Below are 18,543 nucleotides of genomic sequence, written 5' to 3' on the forward strand. Positions count from 1 at the left end.
CACTTATTTTTAGTTTTTAATGAAGAGGATATTGTTACACGCAGTGAAGAATAAATGATCCACTAATCAGTTAGTGAGTTAGATTTTTTAAAACAACTTTAGTGGGATATAATTAATATACCATACAATTTGCCCATTTAAAGTGTACAATTCAAGGTTTTTACTTATGTTCACAGGGTTGTGCAACCATCATCAAATCTAATTTCAGAACATTTTCATCTTCCTTAAAAGAAATGCTGTACCCATTAGGCCCTTCACTCCCTGACCCCCACCCGCTCCAGCCCTAGTCAACTACCAATCTACTTTCTGTCTACGTAGGTTTGCCTGTTCTGGATATTTCATATAAATGGAATCATACAATAGGTGTTCTTTTTTGTTAGTGGCTCTTTGATTTTTGCATAATGTTTTCAAGTTTCATCTATGAAATCTGTACTTCATTTTGTTTGTATTGCTGAATAATATTCTGTTTTGTGGAGTGAGGTCAGATTTCACAAAAAAAGTCTTCAACCCTTTGTTCTACCCTCTGGATGTTTACATTAGCAAATCTCTAAGATGTAGCTTCTGGTTGCTGATGGAACTCGTTTGGCTTTGCAGTATTCCAAGGTTCTCCTAATTCAGTAGATAGTGAGGACTTAAAAATGGCATGGAATGGTGTGGTTCTCCTCTGGAAAAACCATTCATGAAAACATGCATCAAAGGATTCTCAAAATCACAGGTATAATCACAATTTCTGTTTTCACATTGGTTAACTGCACAGGGTTAACCTCAAATGACTGAAGAATACTTGTGTAACTAGAGCTTATTAATAGTAGGTGTCTTTCTTTAACAAGAGTTTGTGATATCACATGATTTGAAGAATTATATATGAAATGTTAGTTATTTAAATTGACAACCCAGAAGAAATATTAATAACTATCATTTATTGAATGGGTGCTTGAAATGTGCCAGGAACTTGAGATTATTTTTAACCTCTTTGAGCTGTGCTCCGTTGTCCCCAGTGGACAGAGGAAGAATCAGAGGGTTTAGTAAATTGCTTTCATTATCTATGGTTTCATAGCTATTAAATTGCAGAGTCAGGATTTGAAACCAAGTCATCCGTTCTGCAACATTCGTACACTGTATGTTGGTGATGGGCCTACAGACTGGATGAGTACTCGGGAGTAGATTTCTTTATACCTACAAACTTTATTAAAAGCTTTTTGATTGAAGACACACTTTCACTTTTTAAAATTTAAATTTTTGTTTTATTTTTAAGAACAATCTCAGACCAAAAAAAGGCACAGTTTCAAATTTGCACATTCATGATTTTTCTGGAAGGATTGCAGAATAGTTGGCACATTTTGGGATCAAGTAGCTTGGGATTTTCTTCAGATTTGCAACCATAAATCTTGTCGTATGAGAAAATACTGGAAAGTTACTAAGGTGCTTAACAAAGCAAAGGGTTTGACAGTCATCAGAATGGTGGGATTTGACTTCGAATGCTATTTTCTGTTTATCGCTCTGGCATTCTTGAATGGATTTAGTGACTCCCTGGAGGTCCAGCTTGGTAAATGTCATATGCTTGCTGTTGACATTCTAGTATTGGGGTATAGATACCTGTTCTTACTGGCGAGCCAATGTTGATCGCAGTAGTCATTACATGGGTTATGTTTTTCGCAGAGGCAGGGAAGGTGAGGGAAGGCAGAGAAACAAACTTAGTCATAAATGTTTTTGAATATTTGTTTATTCTGCCCTTTGGCTCCCGAAAGGGAGTACGTGTGCCTAAATGGAAAAAGTTCTGCAGATTAAAGTTGGCAGGGCAACTTTCAAGTACTAGTGCTGGAGTCTACATAAGAGGAAACAGATGCAACTGAAGATTGGACCTAAAAGCATACCTTTATTTGATTTGGAGGAAAAACCAAAGAGGGAGGTTTCCTGGGATTACAGATCCTGAGTTTACATTCCCTGAATATCTTTTTCCCTCACTCCCCTCCCGACTAGCCCCCATTGCTCCCACCCTGTTTTTTTTTTTTTTTTTCCTGTTCTTTCTTTCTGTGCAACACTAACTTTCCTATTTAGAGGTCAAACTTGAACTTGGAGACCCAAACCTAGACTTGAATTCTAGCTTCCCTACAGATTTCATAGGCTTATTGTGAAGGGTAAATGAGAATACTTATTCTCTGTAAAACAGATAGTACATAAGTGCTTGATAACTTGTTATTATTATAGTATTATTAGCCTTAGTAGCACTGTGCTCTGATTACCTGAGCTAATTGCCAGGGTAGGGTTTAGAAGAAAGAGTTGATATCTGGGTGACTACATTGTCAGATAACTGAGATTACCATTGCTACTTGCAACTGAGAGTGTTGAGCTTTAAAACTAATTTTTTGTTGTTGTTGGTTTTGGTTGGTTGAATTGAGGATAATTTATTTCTTTCAGTTTCAGAAAAATTTGTCAGATTTACATAACAAAATTTATAAGTTTAGAATGCATGGGTAAACGGATTTGAATAGATCAGTTTCAGTGCCATTAAAAGCTATTTGTAGATAAGGATAAGTTAAATGTATATTTTAAAAACAGTGCATCCTTTATTTCATTTCCCTTCTTGTCACTCTTAGCAAAACAACATGTAGCAATTCATATGCATGTCATCTGGGATGGATTGAGATTAAGGTTAGGGAGGCAGGGTGAGCAAAGCCCTCACTGGGCTTGGTGGAGAGTATGACATAACACTATTCATTTGCCCATTTATCCACCACAAATACTGTTGAGTGCTAACTATAGACCTTATAATAGTCCAATGGGATGACAAACAGTAACAAAATGAATAAACTGTGCTATGGTAAGTGGTGAGAACAGGAAGTATTTGGTCCTATGAGAATTTGTGAGGGAAAGTTCTAGAGCTGTGCTGGGGAAGCAGTGCCTCAGCTGAGATCTGGCGGTTGAGTGTAAGTGAGCAAGCTGGAGTGACAGGAAGGGCAGAGGGAAGAATGTTCTTGGCAGAAGGAAAAGCAGTTGCTAAATTCCTAGGGCAGGAAAGGGCAGGGCCCTCATGAAACGAGGGCTGAGTGACGAGCCAGGAAAGCTCAGATATGAGTGCCATGGAACTGGAGAGGCAAGAAGGGCAATGAGCAGGGCCTTCAGCCTTTATCCTGGAGCAGTGGAAAGCAGTTGAGGTGATTTTAAGCAGAAGGGTAACACTGTTGTGTTTGCAACTGTAAGCCGAATTTCTTGTTTCTATGACTTCCCTAGAGTTATTGCCGGCCCTCTTTGGGAAAACATTGTTACACAGAGATAGATCAGTCTAGGTATTCAGATAAACTCAGTTAAAATTGCCTTTTTTAAAATGTCAATTGGCTGGGCGCAGTGGCTCATGCCTGTAATTCCAACACTTTGGGAGGCTGAAGTGGGCGGATCACTTGAGGCCAGGAGTTTCAGACCAGCCTGGCCAACATGGCAAAACCACATCTCTACTAAAAATACAAAAATTAGCCAAGTGTGGTGGTATGCACCTGTAGTCCCCGCTACTCGGGAGGCTGAGGCACCAGAATAGCTTGAACCCAGGAGGCGGAGGTTGCAGTGAGCCGAGATTGCACCACTGCGCTCCAGAGTGGGCAACTGAGCAACACTCTGTCTCAAAAAAAAAAAAAATTTAATGAATACAATAAAATGGGAATTTATGCTTTTTGTAAGGGATGCTACTTTTGTGCACTTCTTAGTTATCATCTCTCAGAGACCATTTCTGTCTGGGGGAAAAGTCTGATCACTGTGGTATGGGAAGTTCTTCTCTTACAGGGACTGAGTGATGGGGTTATTGAAACACTGAAACTAGGTTATTGCGTTGTCATGGTAACTCCATAATACCATGGTGTGGTAGTTGAGAAGCTTGCCACAAATCTGTATCAGAAAGAACGCTTTGTTTTATTTGTCGATTTTTGTCTACAAAACAATGCGTTTGCCCTATCTCTAACTGGCAATTCCAGGAAAACTATCCAGTTTCTGGAAAGTTATCTTTGCCACCATTTAGTGAAGTTATTTCCATTTAAATAACCTAGTCATTGTGGAAGAGAGGAAGGGCTAGACAGTTTAAGAACTTGAACAATTGGTGCCTCTCAAGAGTATTACATTGGGAAACAGTATAGCTAACAAACAGATTGGCTTTGGAGTCAGTGGGCAAGCTGTGCTGTTACTAAGCTGGTTGACCTTAGGCAAAAATAGTTAACCTCTGAGCATAACTTCTTTCATTTTTTAGGGGGATGATACTTTTCGGGATTATTATGACAATTAAATGAGATGTAAATGAGGTTCTAGTATAGTCCTTACTGTATTTTTATGAATATTAAGTAACATATATTTAAGAGCATCATTTGTTTGTATAGATTACTCTTATTGGATGAAAAGGGATTGTTGAAACTAAGAAATAATTGTAGTTCACTCAGCAGGTATACACTTGAAAATCTAAAATTATGAACAGACCAATTAGGAGATGACTAGTGCTACTGCAGAAGAATTCCTTGCTTGGGTAAAAGATTTACTAAGCAGTTCCTTTATATATAGATCCCCTTAGTGAGTAAATCTAAGATAGGAAGGACTTCAAAAAATTTGGTTATTTATAATTTTTCAATTACATTTGTAAAAACCTTAGAGTTATCTTTAAGTCTTCACCACATGCAGCCTTTTAGGAAATCCCGTTGACTCTGAACTTCAAAATATCCAGAATCTAGTGAGTTCTAAGCCACCACAGACTCTTGTCTCTCTAATAACAAGTTTCTTATCTCTCTGCTTCCACCTTGGCTCTCCTGCAGTTGATTCTCACACAGCAGCCACAGTGATCCTTGACAAGCTTTGGTCAGATTATGTGATGCTCTGCCTAGATCTCTCTAGTGGTTTCTCACCCACTCAGATTAAAACTCAGTATTTGTCTCGTGGCTTTGAATAAGGCTTTATTTTATTTTATTCTATTTTATATTTATGTTTATTTTTATTTTTTGAAGCTGGGTCCTGCTCTGTCACCCAGGCTGGAGGGCTGTGGTGTGATCTCAGCTCACTGCAGCCTCTGCCTCTCAGGTTCAAGTGATTCTCCTGCCTCAGCCCCCCAAGTAGCTGGGACTACAGGCGAGTGCCACCACACCCTGATAATTTTTTTGTATTTTTATTAGAGACGGGGTTTCACCATACTGACCAGGCTGGTTTTGAACTCCTGACCTCAGGTGATCCACCTGCCTCAGCCTCCCAAAGTGCTGGGATTACAGGTGTGAGCCACCGCACCCGGCCTGAACAAGGCTTTAAACCACCTGCTTCCTGCTTCCATTGACCTCTGACCTCATCTCCACTACTCTTACTCCGTTCCACCCACATACACCTCTTGCTGTTCCTTGAACAACCTTGGCATTGTTGCTTTGGGGCCTTTGCTTTTTCCTCTTCACGGAATGCTCTTCCCCCAGATATCCATGTGACTGACCCTTCTTACTCTCCTTCAAGTCTTTGCAGAAATATCACCTTTTCAATGGAACCGCCCCTCCTACCTATAAACTCACAGTCGTTTCTCCCTCACTCCCACTCCTATCCATTACCCTGCCCCACTTTTCCTTTTTGTCATAGCACTTGTCACCATCTCCCCTACTGTATACTTTGCTCATTTATGATGTTTCTGTTAGAATGTGAGCACTGTAAGGCAAGGATCTTTGTCTTTTAATCTCAAGCACCTAGAACAATGTCTGTACACAGTAAGTGCCAATGTACCTTTGTTGAATTAATGGAAATATCTGTTAAGTAAGGTATTCATACATATATATATATATATATATATATATATATATATATATATATATTTTTTTTTTTTTTTTTCTGAGACAGGGTCTCACTATATTGCCCAGGCTGGCCTCAAACTCCTGGGCTCAAGCAATCCTCCTGCCTTAGCCTCCTGAGTTGCTGGGACTATAGGCATGTGTCCCAGCTGTGTCTGGCTTCCAGTCTTTTTAATATTAAGGGATAATGATTTTTGTGAATTATCTTCTCTTTTTACATTCTCTTATCAGCTACAAATCTAACAAATATTAGCGGTTTCCCAACCTCTAAGAATGAAATTATTTAATCTAAAAATATAGAGTAACCTCAGGACGAAGTTCTCCTAATACAGACTCTGGAACTAGATTACCTACTTTTGAATCCCAGCTCAGCTAGTTACAGTGTTATCACCTTAACTTCTGTGTGCCTCAGTTTCCTCATCTGTAAAATTGGGATAATTATAGATTGGAAATACTGATTAAATGGGGCTAACTGATTTAATGTGTGTGGAATACTTAGACTACTGAGAACACTACCTGACATTTCAATGTTAAATACTATAGAAATGATAGCAGATATTATCTGATGGGATGATTCTGATTTTATCCACATGCATCTTTTCCCGACTTTCCCTCAAATTTCTAAAGACACTGCATATTCCCTTCTAGATGATTATCAAAGTCGTCAATTTTAGTATGTCTAAAATTTAGCTTTTCTACTCTCCCCAGCGTGTTCTGGACTTCCTTATTTTTGCTAATTATGTCATCGTCTTGCTAGTCATGAAGCTCCAAATCAGAGATGGCAAATTCTGATGCCTCAGGCAGGTCAAGTAAAATGAGTGAAGTGGACCAGGTGTAATGCATGTCAAGACACTGTCCAGGTAACCAGGCATGGTCTCTAGTAGCAGCCTTCAGCAACACTGGCACAGTCCTCTCAGATTTTCACCAGCAGCCCAAATCTAGATTTTCATATAGAAAGTTTCTTAATTGTTTAGAGTTGATGCAAATTTCTCAGGTTTACTCTGTGGACCAAATAAATTATGTCAGTGGCTAGATGCATCAAGTAGCCAGTTTGCTCCCTCATCTCTAAGTCTTAGAATCATGCTTTCCTTTGCACATCTAGACAGGAAATTGCCAAATCTTGCTGAATCTACCACTACAGTCTCTCTCGCATCCATACCTTCCTCTATGTTCTCCTAATATATTGCCTCCCTACCAAATCTTACACTCACTCTGGCGCAAGTTTAATCTACCAGTGAAGCCTCCAATCAAGTTACCCCTTCCTTATACCTTACACATACAGGTCAGAAGTTTCATAATGTCTATGCAAACATCAGGCTCCTTGGCCCTTTTGATCTTGGCCTTGTGTCTGTTTCTGATGTCACCTCCTTTGCACCCTTCCTTGGATGCATCCTGGATGACGTCCTGTGTCCCAGACATGCCTGTGCTTTCCTGCTTCTTGCAGCCTCCAGGGCCTTGCTTGTGCAGAGGCATTTAGTAGGTTTTGGTGGTTGTTGCATGTTGGCCTCACTCTGCCTGAGGTGCTCTTTCTCATATTCCACACTCTTCCTCACTCTTCCTGTTTGTGAAATTCTACTCATGTTCCAGAGTGTCAATTGTGACTTTTTGCATTGAGAGCTTTCTAGATGATAGTGACTGTGCACTTTTGGAACTCTAATAGTATTTCTTGTATTCATTCTGGTGGGCTTTTTCACAGTTTACCTTATTAGTCGTGTGTATGTATATGTGTGCATGTATCACTTCATTTGCTCAAAAGTGTATTTGCACTATAATATTTCATGAGTGAATACTTTTTTCCTTGAGGTTCTGGTGTATTTCAATTGGGGGGTCAGATGTTTTGCTTTAGTTTTCTATTTTTTGTTCTACTTTGCAAAATAATTTGTGAACTGTTTTTTCTCCTTCTTCTGAAACCTCAAGTGCTATACATCTAAAAATGCTAGATTGAAAATAAACCAAGGCTGGTTAGACAAAGCTGGTTACAGAGTTATGATAGCAGGGCTGTCATACTAGTTTTGAAAATGTATAGTGCACTGAGATCAAAAAGATGTCCTTGAATAGTATTGGTAACAGGCTAACCTTTCTTCATCTGTGGTATCAGGAAATTACAGGGAGTTACAGGGAACTGAACACTCTGCCATATTTAATAAACATTAAATATAAATTTGGTAGTATATTTATTATTCTTTCCCAAATCTTTACAAAATTGTTGTGAGTAGATTTTCCTTTAGTAAGAAAGATTTCTCCAATTAAAGTTTTAGTAACACCTTGCTAATTGGTAAGGCTTATTGGTAAGACTAATTCGTGAAAAATTAAATTCTAGAGTGTGTTGACCAAAATGTAGTTTTTAATTTTGAAATTGTGATAAAATAAGTCCATACCTTCTGGAACTACCATTCTTTTTGAATTGTTGAAGACTCTGGACCAAATTCCCTGGAAAATCTCTTTGATAGTAAATACATTGAATAGTAAGCATATAGAACCAGAAACTGCTATAAAGTTAACCATAGAGCATTGAGTATATAGTTTATTTGCTTCATGGAAATAAATGAATACTACAGTTGGTTGACAATTTTTACACAAGTTTAGTCAGCCATTTTGTGAAAAAACTTGAGAAAATGAAAAAAATCAGGAGGCAGAAGAGAATCATGATAGAATAGCAGAACTGGAAGGGATGTTAGCAACCTCTTCACTTCAATTATTAGGGAAATACATGCTGGAAAAGGTAATGACTTGCCCAAGATTATGCATCCAGTTAGAGAATGGCCAGGCCAGACAGTTCAGTGGCAAAGGGCAGAAGTGGTGGATGCATCTGTGGTAGATTGATTAAAAGCAACGATAGGAGCGATGAGCAGCAGGCTCTGACAGCAAAGTGGAAGAGATTTGTCTGGGTTGAATTAGAGGAAAGTGGTGAGGAGGAAAAGCAGAGGTGATTTAGTGATAGTGATGAGGATGCTGGCAGAACTGGACATCATCACACATTCCTGAAACTGGTATGAGGCAAGAAACAGTCCTCTCTATACAAGAGCCTAAACTCTTAAAGAAATGATATGTACCTTTTTAGCCCTTAAGGATGCCATTATGCCATGCTCTTGGTACACCCTACATAGATGTTAAGACCAGGAGGCACTTGTTCATTGTATATAGTGGTGCAAGCTAAGTTAGTTGATCCAATATCTCCTACCCAGAGTCTCAGCTGTGCTTATATCCCAAACTACTGATTATGTTGATGACACTTAATTCCCAAGGAAATACTGCATTTAGTATATGTTCCTCAAGGTGGCCAAAAAAGAATATAGTATTTTTTAGAAATTTAAATACCAGTGTAAAAAAATCCTTTAATATTCCTAGTCTGGAGAAAACTTCTTCAGATTGATTTTACTGTAATGACTGGCATTAACTGCTCATAACCAAGCTAACTTCCAGTAGGAATATTGTCAGCTTTGCTTTACTGATAGCTGAGACTCTAGTCCTGTAGAAGCAGTACTCATACAGTAGACAGGTTCCCCTGATCTTGCACATCCAATCTTATAATTTTGCCGTGGAACAGGAAGCTACTGCTTATCTGTGTGTTCCAATGCCTATCACTGTCTGTCATGTGTAAGGAGGCGATGATCTCCTTACAGATAACGTGAAAACAAAAGCCACATTGGGCTAGACAACAACATTCACACATTCTGAATTAGAGCAGGCTGATTTAATAAAATGTTACTGTAATGGTGACATTTTAATTTACAGAGCCCTTTTCAAGTATTCTTGAATTATTTCCATAACAACCCTATGAGGCAGGTTAGGGTTGGTTTTGTTATTTCCATGTAATATACCAAGACCAGATGGAGATGCAGTGACTGGTATAAGGGTTACACAGATAGTAAGTAGCAGAAGAAATTGAATCTAGGTTTTCTGACTCTAGGCTCCATGTTCTTTCTAATTTACTGCCAAAGCTGCTAAATAAGGGTGATTTTAAGGCCATTTGGAATACTTGCACATGAGCTTACAAGTTGGAGAATTTCTCAAATGTTGCTTCAAAGTGAAAGGTTGGCCAGGTGTGGTGGCTCATGCCTGTAATCCCAGTACTTTGGGAAGCTGAGGTGGGAGGATTGCTTGAGCCCAGGAGTTCCAGATCAGCCAGGGCAAAAAAAAAGAAAAAAGAAAAAAAATGAGCCAGGCATGGTGGTACATGCCTGTAGTCCCAGTTACTCAGATGGCTGAGGTGGGAGGATTGTTTGAGCCCCGGAGATTGAGGGTGCAGTGAGCCATGATTGCACCACTGCACTTCAGCCTGGGTAACAGAGCATGACCCTGTCTCAAAAAAGAAACATAAAAGTTAAAGGTCTGTTTATATCATGGCAGTATTCAAATTCATCTGGATCATATGAATCAGTCCAGTGTGCTCATTAACGTTACATTCTAGGGCTTTACTACAGACCTACAGAAAAAAAATCTGTAAGAAAAGAGCATGGGACCATGTATTTTTAACAAATAAGATGATTCTTAAGGTCATGCATTTTGGGGGCCAGGCACGGTGGCTGACACCTGTAACCCTAGCACTTTGGGTGGCTGAGGTGGGCAGATCACTTGAGGTCAAGAAGCTCTAGACCAGCCTGGCCTGGTCTAGTAGAGATGGTGAAACCCCATCTCTACTGAAAATACAAAAATTAGCCCCAAGTGGTGGCATATGTCTGTAATCCCAGCCATTTGGGAGGCCGAGGCAGGAGAATTGCTTGAGCCTGGGAGACAGAGTGAGACTCTGTCTCAAAAGATCATGCATTTTGGGAAACACTGGACTAGCCCTAGAAAAAACAGTGGATTATCCATGCAGGCTTTTTAACCAAATATCTTCTGAATACCAGGGCTTGGTTTATAATAGTGAGCCACCGTGTCCGGCCCAGATGGGTTTTTAAAAATTATCTTTATTGGCCGGGCGTGGTGGCTCGTACATGTAATCCCAGCATTTTCGGAGGCCGAGGCAGGTGGATCACTTGAGGTCAGGAGTTTGAGACCAGCCTGACCAACACGGTGAAAACCGGTCTCTACTAAAAATACAAAATTAGCTGGGCGTGGTGGTGCACGCCTGTAATCCCAGCTACTTGGGAGGCTGAGGCAGGAGAATCACTTGAACCTGGGAGGCAGAGGTTGCAATGAATTGAGATTGCACCATTGCACTCTCGCCTGGGCAACAAGAGCAAAACTTCGTCTCAAAAAAAAATCTTTATTATGAAATTAATATAAATGATATCTTTTAATGATGATTCTTAAAGAGGCAATAGACTGAAGAGGATGTTCTAATTAGTCTTCTTCTTCTTCTTCTTCTTTTTAAGCCTTTTAAATGATGAGGAAGGAGGAAAATGGGCTTAGGTTCTACCAGAAGAAATTTAGATTTTAGTTGGCCATCTGGATGACCTTTGTAGTAATTAAACAGTCAGATTGGGTCATTCCTTCAGCAGATAAATAAATAAATACATATATTTCTAACTTTTATTTTAAGTTCAGGGGTGCAAGTGAACGTTTGTTACATAGGTAAATTTGTGTCATGGAATTTTGTTTTACATATTATTTCATCACCGAGGTATTAAGCCTAGTACCCATTATTTTTCCTGATCCTCTCCCTCCTCCCACCTTCCACCCTCCGAAAGGCCCATGTGTATGTTGTTTCCCTCTATGTGTCCATGTTCTCATCATCTATTATAGTTCCCACTTATAAGTGAGAACATGTGGTATTTGGTTTTCTGTTCCTGTATTAGTTTGTTAAAGATAATGGCCTCTAGTTCCATCCATGTTCCTGCAAAGGACATGATCTTGTTCTTTTTTATGGAGCAGATAAATATTCATTGTGTGGTGATTATATGCTAGGCCCTGTGCTGGGTATGAGAATATAGTGATGAGCAAGAAAGCCATGGTCTCAAAGTTCTGATATCCGGAATCTACAAGCAAGTTAAACAAATTTATAAGAAAAAAAATCATCAAAAAGTGGGCAAAGGATATGAACAGACACTTCTCAAAAAGACATTTATGTGGCCAAGAAACATATGAAAAAAGCGCAACATCACTGATCTTTAGAGAAATGCAAATCAAAACCACAGTGGAATATCATCTCATGCCAGCCAGAATGGCGATTATTAAAAAGTCAAGAAACGATAGATGCTGGTGAGGCTGTGGAGAAATAGGAACACTTTTACACTGTTAGTGGGACTCTAAATTAGTTCAACCATTGTGGAAGACAGTGTGGCAGTTCCTCAAGGATCTAGAACCAGAAATACCATGTGAGCAATCCCATTACTAGGTATATACCCAAAGGAATATAAATCATTCTACTATAAAGACACATGGACACATATGTTGAATGCAGCACTATTTACAATAGCGAAGACATGGAACCAACTCAAATGCCCATCAGTGACAGACTGGATAAAGAAAATGTGGTACATACACACCATGGAATACTATGCAACCAAAAAAGGAATGAGATCATGTCCTTTACAGGGACATGGATGAAACTGGAAGTCATCATCCTCAGCAAACTAACATAGGAACAGAGGACCAAACACCACATGTTCTCACCCATAAGTGAGAGTTGAACAATGAGAACACGTGGACACAGAGAGGGGAACAACACACACCAGGACTTGTTGCGGGGGGTGGGAGGCAAGGGGGAGGGGAAGCATTAGGACAAATAGCTAATGCATATGTGGCTTAAAACCTAGATGATGTGTTGATAGGTACAGCAAACTACCATGGCACATGTATACTTATGTAAGAAACTTTCACATTCTGCACACATATCCCAGAACTTGAAATAAAACAAACAAACAAAAAGAAAGCCATGGTCTCTATCTCTGCTGGTCTGGCAGAAGACACAGACATTATATAAGCAGATCCAAAAAGTGTTACAGGAGCCGGCTATGGGGGCACTAACCTGGTTCAGGGGCTTAAGGAAGGTTTTCTGGAAGAAGCAACATTTAATCCAAGATGTGGAAGAAAAGTAGAAGATGATGATGTTCATAATGGTAATAAGATGTAATGTTTATTAAAAAGCTTACCATGTACCAGGTACTTTTCTAAATATCTTAATTGACTCATTTAATCTGCACATAATGTAATAAGGTAGATCCTATTAATATCTCTGTTTTAGTAAAAGAGAGCTAAAATATAGAGAGGTCAAGCAGTTTACCCAAAGTCACATAGTAAGTGGAGGAGCACCTGGGCTTTGAACTGAAGTCTGTCTCCTCAATTTCCTCTCTTAGCCACTATGCTAAACGGCATTGATAAATTAGAGATGGGCAGGTGAGGGGTGTTGGAGGACAGGGGACTATTTCAAGCAGTGAGAACACCTTGGGTGAAGACCTTGAGGAAACTGAGACCATTTCAGGAAGTTTTTCTAAAAGAAGGTTGAGAGAGCTGGGGCTGAGAATCCTGAGAGGAGAGAGGCAATAGATAAGACTAGAGAAATGTAGGCAGGGGGCCAGATCCCACAGGCCCTTGAGTCTACAGTAAGAGTTTGTTTATCCTAAGGACAGTGGGAAGTCGTTGAAAGATTTTAAGCAGTAGAGTGTCATGATCAAGTTTGTACTTAGGACAGTTTACTCTGGCATTTTGGAGAATGGATGTGGAGGTAGCAACTCAGGAGGTTGGGAGACCAGCAGGAGACTGGTGATGGTAAACCAGGCATTGGGTGGTGGTGGCTTGGATTAAGGAAACTGAGACAGGGACTGGGAGAGGGAGTCAGACAAGAAAGAGATAGGAGGTAAAGTTATGGGCCCTTGTCATAAACTTATGATTGTGGGGCTGAGGGAGACAGCAGAGTCCAAAAGGACTGTGAGGGGTCTGAGCTCTGGGCACTGACATAAAACACTAAGAGAGATCAGGCTTTGGGAAGAAAATAATGAGGTTGATTTCTGACAGGTTCTATGTGGATATCAGGCAGTCTTACTGTAGATTCGCACCAAGCTGAGCCTAAGTCCTTTGGTCTAGCCATCATTTAAGTTGTTCTAAATTAGATGCTATATTTTATAGTCTACAGAAAAGTGTGGTGCCTCAGCAATGTAATAGTTTAGGAAAAGGAAAATGTTATTTTTTAATAAGTTGAGTGTATTCCATGTAGCACATTGTGCTATAGTTGGGTCAATCCGTTTGCTATTTTCTCTTTGGGCAGAAAGTATAGTGGAAAGAACGGGTACAGGATTATCACAGGACCTGAGTTCATATCTCATCTTCCCACCTTTGGCACTTATTAGTGTGGAATCTTTGATCAGCTATTCTGTTTTTTTCCATCTATCAAATGTGTTCAAAAATCCCCACTTTGTCTAAGATATTAAGAGTCTTTGGAAGCGTGGTAGAAAGTACAAAGCATTATGCACATACAAGGCACTGGGCCTTTTCCCCTCTTCACCTTTCAATTAGAAACCTAGAAATAGAATTGCCGTATGAGTTGATCAGCTTGTGTGAGGTTCACATTGCTTCAAGATTTATTTTGGGGTCTGTTGCAACTTTGTTGTGATCAACACCTGAGTCTCTTGATGTGATTATCTAATATATATCAATTTTAGAACATACCTAAAACAGATTTTTTAAAGCAATTTTTGTTAATGTAAGCTTGTTTCTAAATTAAAAGTTAAACTAATGTAACCACTAATTGTATTTTAAAGAGATGCCTTAAGCTTCAACTTTATTTTTAACATATACAAAAGGTATGTATGGTTAGTTACTACAGTGGATTAAAGATATAGTTAAATTATTGCTAGTGAAGTATCATTTCAACTATGGTATAATTGGAAGACTTTCATAGCTTGACATAACTGTTTAAAGTCTCATTATTTTATTATAAGCATTATTATAAGAGATTATTATAAGTTCCTGTCATTTCTCACTCAATACCCCACTGTTCCCATCTCATGCTAAAAGATATTTAGAGTTCTTTTTCTTTAGCTTAAGGCTTTTTATTATTCTCTTTTTTCATTTTTTCCTCTGGGGAAGTGAGAAAGGAATGTTCTCATTTTTATTTAAGCTAGATTCTGATGAATTATGATGTTAATGAGATAATAGTACCTTTTAGATATCTGTAGCAAAAGTATCATCTTTGAAATGAGGAAATATTTTCCAGAATATACTTTGAATCAATTTTTAAAAAATACTAAGGAGTATATATCCAAATCTTCTAGTAATTTTAGCTCCAAAATATGTATATTTGAAAATTGTGAATTACTTTTTGTTTTTTTCAAATTGTTTGTTAATGTTACTGCAAATGGAGACATTTATTTTTCTCTTCTCTTGTGTTCCTATTTTAGTTTGGGTTCTCCCAAAATCAGATGTTGAGACACATTCAAGTTCAGTTTATTTGAAAGGTGATCCCAAGAAACACCAGTAGGGAGGAGATAGAGAAGGGAATTCAGCCAATTTGGCCAGAAATCTAATAATCCGATCAAAAAATGGGCAGAAGATTTGAATAGACATTTCTCAGGACATACAAATGACAAACAGGCATATGAAAAAGGTGCTCAACATCACTGATCATCAGAGAAATGCAAGTCAAAACCACAGTGAGATATCATCTTACCCAGTTATGGCTTATATCTACAGGACATTATCAAGCACTGTGGCCCACTGGAGCTTTAGCCCACACAATAACTCTGGAGCTAGAGCAGAACTCAAGTTTCAGGGTTATCTTATCTGAGGGGCTGGGAAGTTTGGGTATTTATACACCAGTGGCCTTAGTCACTGGATGAAGGCTGTTGATGGGGAGGAGCCTGAGTTCCCTAGGACTTCTAGTCTACCGTGTACTTGGCATTGCTGGCTTCAGCCACCAGAAAAAGTCCTAATTTATTTATTTATATATATTTTTTTAATTTGTAATTTTTGTGGGTACACAGTAGGTATATATATTTTTGGGGTACATGAGATATTTTGATACAGGCATGCAATGAGAAATAATCACATCATGAAGAATGAGGTGTTCATCCCCTCAACCTTTTATCTTTTGAATTACAAACAAAAATGTACAATTAAGTTATTATTGACTACAGTCGCCACATTGTGCTGCTATCAAATGGTAGGTCTTAATCATTCTATTTTTTTTTTAACCCATTAACCATCCGCACCTCCCTCCCAGCCCCCCACTACCCTTCCTAGCTTCTAGTAACCATCCTTCTACTGTCTGTCCATGAGTTCAATTGTTTTGAGTTTTAGAGCCCATAAGTAAGAGAACACACAATGTTTGTCTTCTATGCCTGACTTATTTCACTTGATACATGATCTCCAGTTCCATCCATGTTGTTGTAAATGACTGGAACTCATTCTTTTTTATGGCTGAATAGAACTCCATTGTGTATATGTACCACATTTTCTTTATCCATTCATCTGTCGACGGACACTTAGGTTGCTTCCAAATCTTAGCTATTGTAAACAGTGCTGCAGCAAACATAAGAGTGCAGATATCTCTTAGATATATTGATTTCCTTTATTTTGAGTATATACCCAGCAGTGGGATTGCTGGATCAAATGGTAGCTCAATTTTTAGTTTTCTGAGAAAGCTCCAAACTGTTCTCCATAGTGGTTGTACTAATTTACATTCCCACCAACGGTGTACAGGGGTTCCTTTTTCTCCACATCTTTGCCAGCATTTGTTATTGCCTGTCTTTTGGGATATATGCCATTTTAACTGGGATGAGATAATATCTCATTGTAGTTTTGATTTGCATTTCTCTGATGATCAGTGATGTTGAGCACCTTTTCATATGCCTGTTTGACATTTGTATGTCTTCTTTTGAGAAATGTCTATACACATATTCTGCCCATTTTTTGATCAGATTATTAGATTTTTTCCTGTAGAGTTGTTTAGGCTCCTTATATATTCTGGTTATTAATCCCTTATCAGATGGGTAGTTTGCAGATATTTTCTTCCATTCTGTGGGTTGTCTCTTCACTTTGATTGTATCCTTTGCTGTGCAGAAGCTTTTTAAGTTGATGTGATCCCATTTGTCCATTTTTGCTTTAGTTGCCTGTGCTTGTAGGGTATTGCTCAAGAACTTTTTGCCCAGACTAATGTCCTTGAGATTTTCTCTAATGTTTTCTTGTGGTAGTTTCATAGTTTGAGGTCTTAGACTTAAGTCTTTAATACATTTTGATTTGATTTTTGTATATGGCAAGAGATAGGGGGTCTAGTTTCATTTTTCTACATATAACTATCCAGTTTTCCTAGCACCATTTATTCAAGAGACTGTCTTCAGTATATTCTTGGCACCTTTGTTGAAAATGAGTTCACTGTAGGTGTGCAGATTTGTTTCTGGATTCTCTATTGTGTTGCATTGGTCAGTGTGTCTGCTTTTATGCCCATACCATGCTGTTTTAGTTATTATACCTCTGTAGTATAATTTGATGTCAGGTAATGTGATTCTTCCAGTTTTGTCCTTTTTGCTTAGGATAGCTTTGACTTTTCTGGGTCTTTTGTGGTTCTGTATAAATTTTAGGATTGTTTTTTCTATTTCTGTGTAGAACATTATTGGTATTTTGATAGGGATTACATTGAATTTGTAGATTGCTTTGGGTAGTATGGACATTTTAACAATATCAATTCTTCCAATCCATGAACATGGAATATCTTCCAATTTTTTGGTGTCCTCTTTAATTTCTTTCATCAGTGTTTTATAGTTTTTATTATAGAGATCTTTTACTTCTTTGGTTAATTCCTAGGCATTTAATTTCATGGGTAGCTATTATAAAGGGGATTACTTTTTAATTTCTTTTTCACATTGTTCACTGTTGGCATATAGAAATGCTACTTATTTTCGTATTTTGATTTTGTGTCTGCAACTTTACTGAATTTGTCTATCAGTTCTAATATTAATAGTTTTCTCATGGAGTCCTTTGCTTTTTCCAAATATAAGATTACATCATCTCCAAACAAGGATAATTTGACTTCTTCCTTTCCAATTTGGATGCCCATTATATCTTTCTCTAATCCAACTGCTGTAGCTAGGACTTCCAGTACTATGTTGAATAACAGTGGTGAAAGTCAGCATCTTTGTCATGTTCCAGATCTTAGAGGAAAGGTTTTCAGTTTTTCCCCGTTCTGTATGATGCTGGCTGAGGGGCTGTTGAGGTATGTTCCTGCTATACCCAGTTTTTTGAAGGTTTTTGTCATGAAGGGATATTTAATTTTATCAAATGCTTTTTCAGCATTAATTCATTTAATTCATTAAATGAATATGTGGTTTTTATCCTTTATTCTGTTGATATGATGTATCGCATTCATTGATTTGTGTATGTTGAACCATCCTTGCATCCTAGGGATAAATCCCACTTGGTCACGGTGGATGATCTTTCTAATGCAAGCTTGTCCAATCTGCGGCCAATGGGCCACATGTGGCCCAGGATGGCTTTGAATTGTGGCCCAACACAAATTTCTGAACTTTCTAAAACATGAGATTTTTTTTGCAATTTTTTTTCTTTTTTTTAAGCTCATCAGCTATTGTTAATGTTAGTGTATTTTATGTGTGGCCCAAGGTAATTCTCTTTCCAGTTTGGCCCAGGGAAGCCAAAAGACTGGACACCTCTGTTCTAATGTATCATTGAATTCTGTCTGCTAGTGTTTTGTAGAGAATTTTTGCATCAGTATTCATCAGAGATATTGGCCTGTAGTTTTCCTTTTTTTGTTGTTGTTGTTTTTTTTGTTTGATGTACCTCTGTCTAGTTTTGGTATCAAAGTAATACTGGCCTCATAGAAAGTGTTTGGAAGTATTCCCTCCTCCTCTAGTTTTCAGAATAG

At 38.4% G+C, this 18,543-nt stretch overlaps 1 protein-coding gene across 7 annotated transcripts in view, besides 1 other annotated feature; it reads left to right on the forward strand.

Moving 5' to 3' along the window:
- Window positions 1-18,543, forward strand: part of HSD17B12 (hydroxysteroid 17-beta dehydrogenase 12) — a 299,895-nt gene that overhangs the window by 127,875 nt on the left and 153,477 nt on the right. The window lies entirely within an intron of this gene.
- Window positions 10,182-10,231: an enhancer, noted in NCBI's record as "active region_4645". NCBI's record gives its function as "activates an Ori minimal core promoter by ATAC-STARR-seq in GM12878 lymphoblastoid cells {active_cell/tissue: GM12878}" and the evidence as "EXISTENCE:reporter gene assay evidence [ECO:0000049][PMID:35858748]".

This window comes from Homo sapiens, chromosome 11, assembly GCF_000001405.40.
Source record: "Homo sapiens chromosome 11, GRCh38.p14 Primary Assembly".
Lineage (NCBI taxonomy): Eukaryota > Metazoa > Chordata > Mammalia > Primates > Hominidae > Homo > Homo sapiens.